A 13,397-nucleotide genomic window follows, 5' to 3' on the forward strand; every position below is an offset into this window, starting at 1 on the left:
CCCAAGCTATACCTTGGCCCCTTTTAGTCATGGCTGGATGGCTGAGACACAGGGCACCAAGTCCCTACACTGCACACAGCAGAGGGACTCTGGGCCTGGCCCATGAAACCATTTTTTCCTCCTAAACTTCTGGGCCTATAATGGGAGGGCCTGTTGCAAAGGTCGCTGACATGCCCTGGAGAGATTTTCTCCATGGTCTTGGGGATTAACATTAGGCTCCTCATTACTTATGTAAGTTTCTGTAGCTGGCTTGAATTTCTCCTCAGAAAATGGGATTTTCTTTTCTATCACATTGTCAGGCTGCAAAATTTCCAAACTTTTATGCTCTGTTTTCTTTCTAAAACTGAATGCCTTTAACAGCACCCACGTCAGCTCTTGAATGGTTTGCTGCTCAGAAATTTCTTCTGTGAGATATTCTAAATCATCTCACTCAAGTTCAAAGTTCTGCACACCTCTAGGGTGGGGTAAAATGCCGTCATTCTCTTTGCTAAGACATAACAAGAGTCACCTTTGCCCCAGTTCCCAACAAGTTCCTCATCTCCATCTGAGACCACCTCAGCCTGGATTTCATTGTCCATAACGTTATCAGCATTTTGATCAAAGCTGTTCAACAAGTCTCTAGGGAGTTCCAAACTTTCCCACGTTTTCCTGTCTTCTTCTGAGCCCTCTAAACTGTTCCAGCCTCTGCCTGTTACCCAGTTCCAAAGTTGTTTCCACATTTTTGAGTATCTTTTCAGCAGCACCTTACACCCAGTACCAATTTACTATATTAGTCCATTTTCATGCTGCTGATAAAGACATACCTGAGACTGGGCAATTTATAAAAGAAGGAGGTTTAATGGACTTACAGTTCCACAAGGCTGGGAAGGTCTCACATTCATGGCAGAAGGCAAGGAGGAGCAAGTCACATCTTATGTGGATGGTGATGGTGGAAGGCAAGGAGGAGCAAGTCACATCTTATGTGGATGGTGGCAGGCAAAAAAAGGAGAGCTTGTGCAGGGAAACTCCTTCTTATAAAATCATCAGGTCTTGTGAAACTTATTCACTATCACGAGACCAGCATGGGAAAAGAGCTGCCCCCATGATTCAGTAATCTTCCACCAGGTCCCTTCCACAACATGTGGGAATCAAGATGAGATTTGAGCGGGGACACAGCCAAACCATATCACTAGGATAGCTGACAGGAATCTGCAAATGAAAGAGGTTGTAGATTCATTATGGTTCCAGATGGCACAACTATAGACCTTGGAAAAAAATGAGGTGGAGTTTCTCTTTGGATATATACACACACACACACACACATATACATACATATACACACATATAACTTATTTATCTGGCTTAATATGGATGAATATATTATATAATATATAATCTTGTATTAAGACTGAATATATTAATATATGAAAATATATATATATTGCAAATCCTCAAATAACGTCATTTTGTTCAGTATCATTTTGTTACCACTTTGATGAGAAAAAAAATCAATTCCCAGCTGGGGCCATTGTCTCTGTGGGGTCTGCACATTCTTACCATGCCTGTGTGGGTTTTCTCTGGATTCTCTGCTTTCCTCTCATATCTCAAAGATGTTCATGTTAGGTGAATTGATGTGTCTACGTGGTTCCAGTCTGAGTGAGTGTGGGTGTCTGGGAGTGTGCCCTGCAATGAGATAGTGTCCTGTCCAGATCTGGTTCCTGCCTTGGGCAAATAATTATCTTATTTGATTTTATTAATCTTTCCTAACTGTATGTATAGCTCACATTTATTTCAATGTTTAATATTAGAAGTATTTTGGTCTTTATTTAGAAGTTTGGTGATATTTCTGTGGCCAGAAATATGCCATAGGAACTTAACTCTTGTTTATATCAATTAGCCTAGAGTAAAATTGGTTTCATTATATCTTGTTTCACTTAAAGTTGCACTTTCTAAAAAGTTGCACTTTCTAAGAACTTATGGATGATAAGTGAGGACTTACTGTATATGAATGAATATATTACTATATGAATATATATGCATACATACACATATATACACATACTTGCACACACATGCACACACACACATATATATGTAGACTATATATATATATACACTACATATATATATATATATATGTAGTCTAGTAATGGATTAGACCTTAGAAGGGTCATTGAAGGTATTTAGGCTGAGGTTGGATGGATCTCTTCCAAGAGATAGTATAAACTGCATTTATTTTTGGATTCATTCATTCATTCATTCACTTCTTATGGAGCCCTTTCTATGTGCCACACACTGTTCTTAGTACTGTGGAGACAGATAAATACTGGGCAAGAGGTTGGATTAAAAAACTTTAAAGACCTCATTATATCTGTGGTCAAAAGAAGTTGCTTGATGCTTTGGGGTCCTTTACCTTAAGTGTAGAGCTCTGCTTGTGTATTACCCACTCTGTGTTTTAGATGCTCCTGTGTGTTCCCATCACATGTCTTCTGTGATGTGGAGTAGTATTTTATATCATTCTCTGAGTGGCTGTAGGCTTTAACATCATGTGTATGACAACATTTTATCTCCCTACCTTTTTTTTTTTTTTTTTTGAGACAAAGTCTTGCTCTGTCACCCAGGCTGGAGTGCAGTGGCACAATCTTAGCTCACTGCAATCTCCTCCTCCTGGGTACAAGTGAGTCTCCTGCCTCAGCCTCCTGAGTAGCTGGGATTACAGGTGCCCACCATCATGCCCGGCTAATTTTTGTATTTTTAGTAGAGATAGGGTTTCGCTATGTTGGCTAGGCTGGTCTTGAACTCCTGACCTCAAGTGATCTGCCCGTCTTGGCCTTCCAAAGTGCGGGGATTACAGGCATTAGCCACCATGCCCAGCCATCTCCCTACCTTTGAACAAAGTGGTTAAAGTTGAATGTGAAGTCAGCTTTTGATAGAATAATGTTGATTTTTCGTGGGAAACATTTAATTCCAGGCTAGGTAAATAGGTTTTTAAAGATTCAATATTTACCAGAAAGTATGAGAGAACACAGTGATTTTTAAATGTAAGGTGATATTATTTATTAACATTATTGGAAGTTCACTGCACTGAAAACAAAGTTAAGCTTTTATTTTTCTGAGGGAAGTTATAGTTTCTGCACACTAAAATACTGAAACTTCAGCTTCAATATTTGTAAATTGACTATATATCTGGACTACTGCTGTTTCATTCTGTAGAGATCAGATAGTACCAGAAAAAAGCAGAGGTGCCAAGAACAAAGTGTGCAGATTTGGAGGTGATATTGGGGTCTCTGTACATTATGTCCTGTCAAGTAAGGCCAGCTCTTCATTTGTTTCATGTCTAGGTTTGGAATTCACCCAGTTGCAGGCCGAATGCCTGGTCAGCTTAATGTGCTGCTGGCTGAGGCTGGTGTGCCATATGACATTGTGTTGGAAATGGATGAGATCAACCATGATTTTCCAGGTAAGTGGTGGGGGCAATTGTGAAGTTTAAATATTCTTACTATGAATAAAGCAGTGCAGGTGTGGGATATGAATTGTAGATTCAGTGAAGACTGACTAGTCAGATGAAAAAGAACTTGTACATGGTAGATAATAAGTTGAAATTAAATAAGTGAAATATAGTATTGAATAAGGTACAAAAGATTCGTAAACAGCACAGGTAAATTTTTCTCCTCCGTGAAGAACTGAAGGATGGTGAAAACCTTGGTGTGTAGTATAGAAATGTTGAAGACTGGGGATCTGGGCAGACCTGGCTTTTGAATCCAGATCCTGATTCTCAGTAGCTTGTTACCCAACCTCAGGCTCTTCATTTATGAGTGCTTCTGTTGATAATTTAGTGTCTGATTCTTGCCAGTCTCTGAGATTTTACTGGTTTTCAATTGTACTAACGTATGACTGGTGAAGTAATTTTCTCTTTCTTTTCTTTTTAAAAAGTACTAGAATTTCCCTAGATAAGGTGCTGTACGTTATAGCTGTCATAGGGTAGATGTTGAATGGTAATGACATTTGGCCCAAGCCTATGCTTGTTAAAATTAAACCACTTCCCTCTGGCAAATATCCACTGTAAACTTAAAAAAGGCTGTTTATTAGAAAAAGTATTGAAATTGTGTGTATGTCTAGATTCACATAGCATTTTTTTGGCAACAGTCTAAGGTAGTTTATATTGCAGTTCTTGAAGAGAAAACTTAGGCCATTTTAATTTTATGTCCCTTTTCAGATTCCACTGTTGTTAAATTATGTGTGACACCACCCAGTTCCAGGAATTATGGACATGGCTTTAATGCAGATTTTGAGACTCTCAAGGAGTTATCTTATTTTATTTTTATGTATTTTTTTAACTTTTATTGTAGATTCAGGGGTACATGTGCGGTTTGTTACCTGGTTATACTGTGGGATGCTGAGGGTTGGAGGTAGTGAGCATAGTACCCCACAGTTTTTCAACCCTTGCCCATATCCCTCACTCCCCATTCTGGTAGTCTCCAGGTTCTATTGTTGCCGTATTTATGTTCCTGAGTACCCAGTGTTTAGCTCCCACATATAAGTGAGAATGTGCAGTATTTGATTTTCTTTTCCTGTGTTAATTTGCTTAGGATAATGGCCTCCAGCTGTTTCCATGTTGCTGGAAAGGACACGATTTCCATCCTTTTTATGGCTGTGTAGTATTCCATGGCACATATGTACCATATTTTTTTTTATCCAGTGCACCATTGATGGACATCTAGGTTGATTCCATGTCTTTGCTATTGTGAATAGTGCTGTGATGAACATGCTAGTGAATGTGTCTTTGGTAGAAAGATTTGTTTTCTTTTGGATATGTACGCAGTAGTGGGATTGCTGGGTCAAGTAGGAGTTCTAAGTTCTTTGAAAAATCTCCAAATTGCTTTCCACACTGGCTGAACTAATTTACATTTCTACAAACAGCGTGTAAATGTTCCATTTTCTCCACAGCCTTGCCAGCGTCTGTTATTGTTTTGACTTTTTACTAATAGCTGTTCTGACTGGTGTGAGATAGTAATTTCATTGTGGTTTTGCTTTGCATTTCTCTTATGTTTAGTGATGTCGAACATTTCTTCATGTTTGTTGACCACTTGTATGTGTTCTTTTGAGAAATGTCTGTTCATGTCTTTTGCCCAGTTTTTAAATATTTTTTAAAATTTTTTTAAAATTTATTTTATTTTATTTTATTTGCTTGTTGAGTTGTTTAAGTTCCTTATAGATTCCGGATATTAGAACTCTGTCCAATGCATGCATAATTTGTGAATATTTTCTCTCATTCTGTAGCTTGTCTGTTTACTCTCTTGTTAGTTTCTTTTGCTAAGCAGAAGCTCTTTAGTTTAATTAGGTCTCACTTGTCAATTATTGCATTGTTGCATTTGCTTCTGAGGACTTAGTCATAAATTTTTCACAAGGCTGATGTCCAGAATGGTGTTTCCTAGGTTTTCTTCTTGGATTCTTATAGTTTGAGGTTTAAGTGGTCATTTTAAAGGTTGAAAGTGGAATGCAAATTTCATAAAATCATGTGACCCTATTGCAAGATCATTTTGAGATCATAAAAGTTATAGAGTCAGATTAGGTAGATTTATTGAGAAGGGAGAAGCATAATAATGCAGGCTGTAGTCAAGATAGTCAAGTTCAAATGCAAGACCTACTGCTTTTTAGCTGTGTGAAATTGGCCGAGTTGCTTAACCTCTCTGATAAAGTTCTTTGTAAAGTGCCTGGCACAAGTGCGAATCCTATATTTTTGTTATTGTTATTATAAAGTAAAGATCACTATAATTTGTCTGAAAATATGTAAAAGTGACCATTTGAGTTTTATATTCTTTCTTTTTTGTTTTATTATATAGATACTGATTTGGTCCTTGTAATTGGAGCTAATGACACTGTTAATTCAGCAGCTCAAGAAGATCCCAACTCTATTATTGCAGGCATGCCAGTCCTTGAGGTCTGGAAATCAAAGCAGGTAAAGTTTCAGACTTGTATTTCATTCTGATAATCAAAGGTCACTTCAAATATACACACAGAACTTTCTTTGATCATTTGATAAGAAATGATGATGCCTTCTAGGAGGCCAGGAGTAAGAGCATGTTTAGGGCCCAGTTTCCTATATCCAGCTTCTGTCTGTTCTCCGGCCACCAGAGAACCTGAGTGAATGCCCTAATCACAAGTAGAACCAGATGAGATTATGTGGGTGGATTAACACAATCTGTAACCACAGCTGAAAAAAGAGCTGTGAGCTTTTGTAATGAGTCTGGCTAAATTCCAGATCGAGTCCTGTGAAGCAGATGGCTTCCCTCTGGGAAGTATCAATCGCCTTCATATGCCAAGATGAGCATATTTTTTTCACTTAACTTTTTGAAAGGGAATTTATAAGTTGTTATAGAGTGTCTAGCAGAAAGGTGATTTGGAAATCCAAACAATAATGTGGCATAATGAAGCAAGCTTCGCTCATGTGTATTCCTCCTGAAAAAGCTAATTGCTAGATTTTAGATAACTCAAAGGCTTGTAAATTTTCCTCTGCCTCAGCAGTAGGCACATTTTACCACTACTGAGTCACCTCTGCATTTAAAAAATCATAACATAATGTACATTTCCATTTAATTTCGTTTCTTTTTATTGTAAATATTGGAGTTTAAAACTTAATATTTGTGATGAATGAGTAGACATAAAATATATTTGTTTATGTGTGTATGAAAAATTGTGTCAGTAGTCAATATTTGAGAATTTGTAGAGTGCATTACTATACTAACGCTATAAGAAGAAGAATACATTTGCACTGCTTCTGTTTTTTAATAGATTACATGTCCTAGTAGACCATAGAAAGACTTTTCATTTCATTAAGAAATGACTTGATATTCAGCAGGACAGCAACATCCATAACACATGTCATTGTAAATGTCTATAACATATCAATATTATAGATTGACTTACCTCTTCCATTTTGATTTATAGGAACATTCTGTTAGTTATAGCTCTGCTATTGTGAGAAGCTGGATTGCTCTTTGGGCTTTTGTTCTAGAACTTTCTGATATACTTTAAAGTCATAGAAAAGAATAACATTGTTTTCCCACTCAACCTCATCTGTTTTAGAATTTGTAGTGGAAACTTATGCACTAAACTTGTTTTCTTTAGCACATTCATAGAAAGATGCTTATTTTACTGACTAGAAAATGGTATACATGGTCTTTATAGAGAAGAAGCACTAAGAAGAAAATAATTGTAATCTTATCACTCAGAGATAAATTATTAACATGACTTTTTCTCTAATGGATATAAGAATAAGGGCACACTTAAGTATTAAAGTTAATACAATGTAAACATATGTTAAAAATATTTCTTGTGTATTTTTAAAGTCCCTGCACTAAAGAATTAGTAGTGGTACATGCCTTGTTCAAAGGTAGTGAAGAGCAATGTTTGTTTGCCTAACATGTCCTAGGTTGGTCTGTTAAATACACTCTCTCATTTAATCTCTGGTTCTCAGGTGATTGTTATGAAGAGGTCTTTGGGTGTTGGCTATGCTGCAGTGGACAATCCAATCTTCTACAAACCTAACACGGCCATGCTTCTAGGTGATGCCAAGAAAACATGTGACGCGCTCCAGGCGAAAGTTAGAGAATCCTATCAGAAGTAAATATTAAGGATCAAGCTGTTAGCTAATAATGCCACCTCTGCAGTTTTGGGAACAGGCAAATAAAGTATCAGTATACATGGTGATGTACATCTGTAGCAAAGCTCTTGGAGAAAATGAAGACTGAAGAAAGCAAAGCAAAAACTGTATAGAGAGATTTTTCAAAAGCAGTAATCCCTCAATTTTAAAAAAGGATTGAAAATTCTAAATGTCTTTCTGTGCATATTTTTTGTGTTAGGAATCAAAAGTATTTTATAAAAGGAGAAAGAACAGCCTCATTTTAGATGTAGTCCTGTTGGATTTTTTATGCCTCCTCAGTAACCAGAAATGTTTTAAAAAACTAAGTGTTTAGGATTTCAAGACAACATTATACATGGCTCTGAAATATCTGACACAATGTAAACATTGCAGGCACCTGCATTTTATGTTTTTTTTTTCAACAAATGTGACTAATTTGAAACTTTTATGAACTTCTGAGCTGTCCCCTTGCAATTCAACCGCAGTTTGAATTAATCATATCAAATCAGTTTTAATTTTTTAAATTGTACTTCAGAGTCTATATTTCAAGGGCACATTTTCTCACTACTATTTTAATACATTAAAGGACTAAATAATCTTTCAGAGATGCTGGAAACAAATCATTTGCTTTATATGTTTCATTAGAATACCAATGAAACATACAACTTGAAAATTAGTAATAGTATTTTTGAAGATCCCATTTCTAATTGGAGATCTCTTTAATTTCGATCAACTTATAATGTGTAGTACTATATTAAGTGCACTTGAGTGGAATTCAACATTTGACTAATAAAATGAGTTCATCATGTTGGCAAGTGATGTGGCAATTATCTCTGGTGACAAAAGAGTAAAATCAAATATTTCTGCCTGTTACAAATATCAAGGAAGACCTGCTACTATGAAATAGATGACATTAATCTGTCTTCACTGTTTATAATACGGATGGATTTTTTTTCAAATCAGTGTGTGTTTTGAGGTCTTATGTAATTGATGACATTTGAGAGAAATGGTGGCTTTTTTTAGCTACCTCTTTGTTCATTTAAGCACCAGTAAAGATCATGTCTTTTTATAGAAGTGTAGATTTTCTTTGTGACTTTGCTATCGTGCCTAAAGCTCTAAATATAGGTGAATGTGTGATGAATACTCAGATTATTTGTCTCTCTATATAATTAGTTTGGTACTAAGTTTCTCAAAAAATTATTAACACATGAAAGACAATCTCTAAACCAGAAAAAGAAGTAGTACAAATTTTGTTACTGTAATGCTCGCGTTTAGTGAGTTTAAAACACACAGTATCTTTTGGTTTTATAATCAGTTTCTATTTTGCTGTGCCTGAGATTAAGATCTGTGTATGTGTGTGTGTGTGTGTGTGCGTTTGTGTGTTAAAGCAGAAAAGACTTTTTTAAAAGTTTTAAGTGATAAATGCAATTTGTTAATTGATCTTAGATCACTAGTAAACTCAGGGCTGAATTATACCATGTATATTCTATTAGAAGAAAGTAAACACCATCTTTATTCCTGCCCTTTTTCTTCTCTCAAAGTAGTTGTAGTTATATCTAGAAAGAAGCAATTTTGATTTCTTGAAAAGGTAGTTCCTGCACTCAGTTTAAACTAAAAATAATCATACTTGGATTTTATTTATTTTTGTCATAGTAAAAATTTTAATTTATATATATTTTTATTTAGTATTATCTTATTCTTTGCTATTTGCCAATCCTTTGTCATCAATTGTGTTAAATGAATTGAAAATTCATGCCCTGTTCATTTTATTTTACTTTATTGGTTAGGATATTTAAAGGATTTTTGTATATATAATTTCTTAAATTAATATTCCAAAAGGTTAGTGGACTTAGATTATAAATTATGGCAAAAATCTAAAAACAACAAAAATGATTTTTATACATTCTATTTCATTATTCCTCTTTTTCCAATAAGTCATACAATTGGTAGATATGACTTATTTTATTTTTGTATTATTCACTATATCTTTATGATATTTAAGTATAAATAATTAAAAAAATTTATTGTACCTTATAGTCTGTCACCAAAAAAAAAAAATTATCTGTAGGTAGTGAAATGCTAATGTTGATTTGTCTTTAAGGGCTTGTTAACTATCCTTTATTTTCTCATTTGTCTTAAATTAGGAGTTTGTGTTTAAATTACTCATCTAAGCAAAAAATGTATATAAATCCCATTACTGGGTATATACCCAAAGGATTATAAATCATGCTGCTATAAAGACACATGCACACGTATGTTTATTGCAGCACTATTCACAATAGCAAAGACTTGGAACCAACCCAAATGTCCATCAATGATAGACTTGATTAAGAAAATGTGCACATATACACCATGGAATACTATGCAGCCATAAAAAAGGATGAGTTCATGTCCTTTGTAGGGACATGGATAAAGCTGGAAACCATCATTCTGAGCAAACTATTGCAAGGACAGAAAACCAAACACTGCATGTTCTCACTCATAGGTGGGAATTGAACAATGAGAACACTTGGACACAAGGTGGGGAACACCACACACCAGGGCCTGTCATGGGGTGGGGGGAGTGGGGAGGGATAGCATTAGGAGATATACCTAATGTAAATGATGAGTTAATGGGTGCAGCACACCAACATGGCACATGTATACATATGTAGCAAACCTGCACGTTGTGCACATGTACCCTAGAACTTAAAGTATAATTAAAAAAAAAAAGAAAACAGAAGCTATTTATAAAGAAGTTATTTGCTGAAATAAATGTGATCTTTCCCATTAAAAAAATAAAGAAATTTTGGGGTAAAAAAACACAATATATTGTATTCTTGAAAAATTCTAAGAGAGTGGATGTGAAGTGTTCTCACCACAAAAGTGATAACTAATTGAGGTAATGCACATATTAATTAGAAAGATTTTGTCATTCCACAATGTATATATACTTAAAAATATGTTATACACAATAAATACATACATTAAAAAATAAGTAAATGTATAAGTTTTTACACATTATATATATGTTTATATTGCTACTCATGTATCTATCTGGACAGTTTTCTGGCATGTAGACTATCATTTTATATTCTCTTTTTTTTCTAGGAATTAGAATAGAGAGGACTAATAGAGACTAATAGTCTCTTCGTGCAGTAGGCTTTTAACCCTTTACTGAGTCAGGAAATATCAGTTAAGTATTTGGTAATGAATTTGGAAAGTGAACCGTTGCCTTTCTGATTCTACCCAAGTCATGACCCTAACTTTTAGATTTTGCTATATTCTCGCATCCAACATAAATATAAAATATATTATATATCAGTAAACTTTAAGGTTTCATAAAATTTATCTGATCCCAAAGGTTGATTCTTTAAAAGTAGTAACTTGTGACTCATATGTTCATCTAACCTAGGGACAAATTTTTTAGTCCCCTAAGGCATAAGTCTTGTGAATTAAAGCATTTTAGTATTGGAAAGCTCTTTTGTGTAACTAGGCAGAATAGTTCAAATATCTAATTTATAGTTCACCAGTTTTTGAGAGCATTTGCCAACAAATATTATTCAGTGAGAATAGTAAACAACAACAACAACAAAAACTCAAAACCTTTCCCTCCAGTGGCAGCAGCTTGCATAATCCAGGTATTCTTTAGATTCTCAAAGGAAAGAAGAATTAGGTTAATTAACAAGGAGGAAAAAAATTTTTCTAAGTGAAACTTTTAAAGTGTTGTTTAGCAAAGTAGCAGAAATGGTCACATTTGGATTTTGAAGCACTCAGAGTTCTTGAACTTTTGTCTCTTAGAAGTTACATATTAGGTTGAGGAATTGAACTGTTTTCTTTATTATTTAAGTGATTAAAGGCATTTAGCATGGCATATGTGGTAATTCTGAATGAAAATCTTTTGGCTATTGGCAACAAAATGATGTGTATGATGAGAACAGTAATTAGAGCAACCAATATTTGAAACTCCTATATATAATGATTAAGATAGTGGTAGAAAAAAATAGTCCATGGGCCGGGCGCGGTGGCTCACGCCTGTAATCCCAGCACTTTGGGAGGCCGAGGCGGGTGGATCATGAGGTCAGGAGATCGAGACCATCCTGGCTAACAAGGTGAAACCCCGTCTCTACTAAAAATACAAAAAATTAGCCGGGCGCGGTGGCGGGCGCCTGTAGTCCCAGCTACTCGGGAGGCTGAGGCAGGAGAATGGCGTGAACCCGGGAAGCGGAGCTTGCAGTGAGCCGAGATTGCGCCACTGCAGTCCGCAGTCCGGCCTGGGCGACAGAGCGAGACTCCGTCTCAAAAAAAAAAAAAAAAAAAAAAAAAATAGTCCATGGAAGATAATTTATTTGGGGGAATAGTAGGGAATCCTAACAATGGTAGAGAAAGCTAAGAACTTTAAAAGTTCTTTAAAGCTAAAAACTTTAAAAGTTGAAACCCTAAATAGTGGGGAGATATTACATCACTGTCATGTTGATTGTCAAATCATGTGACTGCCTCATCATTCTGTAGGAAATATTTGTACTTCATATTTTGCCAAAGATTACTGCCTTGAGCTCTGCCTTCCAGTTCTTGCCAAAAGCATATTTACGAAGGATAACACTAGTGTAAAAATTGCCTAAAAGATATAGAGTCCAGTTTGTCCCTGGATATTTCATATTTTATCCATAGACAAAACCAGACTTTCAGAGAGCTGGACAGTTAGGCCACATTGTTTGGGTCACTGTGAAAAGCAGACATAAAGACATTGGAATGAAGAGAGTCAAAGTGATCTTGCTTGCCTAAGGTGACTATGAATTCAGAGGGGAGTCCACATGGCAGCAATAGGATAGTGGGGAGAAGAAGTGGTTGTCATGGACTTTGAGAAGAATTGAGGAAGGGGATGTGGATTTGGGGAAAGTAGGTGACCCTTAGGATGATGGTGGCTAGTTCTTTCCCCCCATAGAGAGAAGTGAAAAGGAAGTGGGAGCTCAGAGCAAGGAAGTTTGGGATGCGTAAGTTTCCCCTATGTAAAGATGGAATATGAAGATCTAATAAACTTTTTCTCACCCTCCTTCCTGTTGCATTTGGGAATATGAAAAATACAAAGTATCAGTGAGATATGATGTAGGGAATAATAAAAACCTTTGGAAAAGGACCATTTAGAAATTGAAATAAGGCCATTTTTTTCTATTCTCTTACTTCATTTTTGGTTTACTATGGGAAAAGCAGAACTCAGGAATGTCTACAGTCAGGGATAGAATTAGATTCCACCAGTGAAGTTTTGCACTTCATATTTTGCCAGTGATTACCACCTTGTGTTATGCTTTTCAGTGCCTTTCTGGAACTGAGTTTTTAAAAGCCAGTGAGTTATTGTCAGCCAGACTTGTCTTTTTTTTTTCCTCCCAGTTAGGGGGTGCACTTTTCACAAAAATACAGTGATTAACACTAATGGAGCAGGGTCCTGTGCCTGGTTAATTCTCTTTAGACTTTGATTCTAGTCCCCAGTTATACACATGGAGGCAGCAGCATCAGTGGGTTAGAACTGAAAGGTCATGTGTAAAACTCTCCAGAGAAAAGGGAGAATGTGACACTAAATCACCCCTTTGTGCTATGACAGGAGGGAGATAATTTCTTCCCCAGAGGGATGAAGCAGAATTTCATCCCTTTAGGATGTTTTGTCACTAGTCTGAGTTTAATGGAACACTGTGCTTCAGAAATCACTCCTTCTAGAAAGAGCCTTTTAAAGCTTTATTGACTCATGGAAAATTTTGTGTCCTTAAATTATAGCTAATGCTCTGGTTTTGTCCCATTGGGA

The 13,397-nt window shown here is 35.9% G+C and overlaps 1 protein-coding gene across 8 annotated transcripts in view, besides 2 other annotated features; it reads left to right on the forward strand.

The window, feature by feature from the left end:
• The window catches only part of NNT (nicotinamide nucleotide transhydrogenase), a 104,722-nt gene extending 94,124 nt beyond the window's left edge, over positions 1 to 10,598 (forward strand). For all 8 annotated transcript variants that reach the window (NM_012343.4, XM_005248274.6, XM_017009293.3 and 5 more), the window contains 3 exons: positions 3,321 to 3,439; positions 5,823 to 5,938; positions 7,457 to 10,598. In NM_012343.4, coding sequence (NP_036475.3) covers positions 3,321 to 3,439; positions 5,823 to 5,938; positions 7,457 to 7,606 — 385 coding nt within the window. In that variant the 3' untranslated portion in view covers positions 7,607 to 10,598. The remainder of the gene's footprint in view (positions 1 to 3,320; positions 3,440 to 5,822; positions 5,939 to 7,456) is intronic.
• Positions 9,369 to 9,538: an enhancer, noted in NCBI's record as "experimental_85394 CRE fragment used in MPRA reporter constructs". NCBI's record gives its function as "activates a minimal promoter by MPRAs in K562 erythroleukemia cells, with activity observed for the introgressed 5:43706354 variant allele {active_cell/tissue: K562}" and the evidence as "EXISTENCE:reporter gene assay evidence [ECO:0000049][PMID:34662402]".
• Positions 11,251 to 11,752: an enhancer, noted in NCBI's record as "H3K4me1 hESC enhancer chr5:43708151-43708652 (GRCh37/hg19 assembly coordinates)". NCBI's record gives its function as "activates a minimal SCP1, AML or CMV promoter by ChIP-STARR-seq in primed H9 embryonic stem cells {active_cell/tissue: H9 hESC(primed)}" and the evidence as "EXISTENCE:reporter gene assay evidence [ECO:0000049][PMID:30033119]".

Source organism: Homo sapiens, chromosome 5, assembly GCF_000001405.40.
Source record: "Homo sapiens chromosome 5, GRCh38.p14 Primary Assembly".
In the NCBI taxonomy this organism is placed as follows: Eukaryota; Metazoa; Chordata; class Mammalia; order Primates; family Hominidae; genus Homo; species Homo sapiens.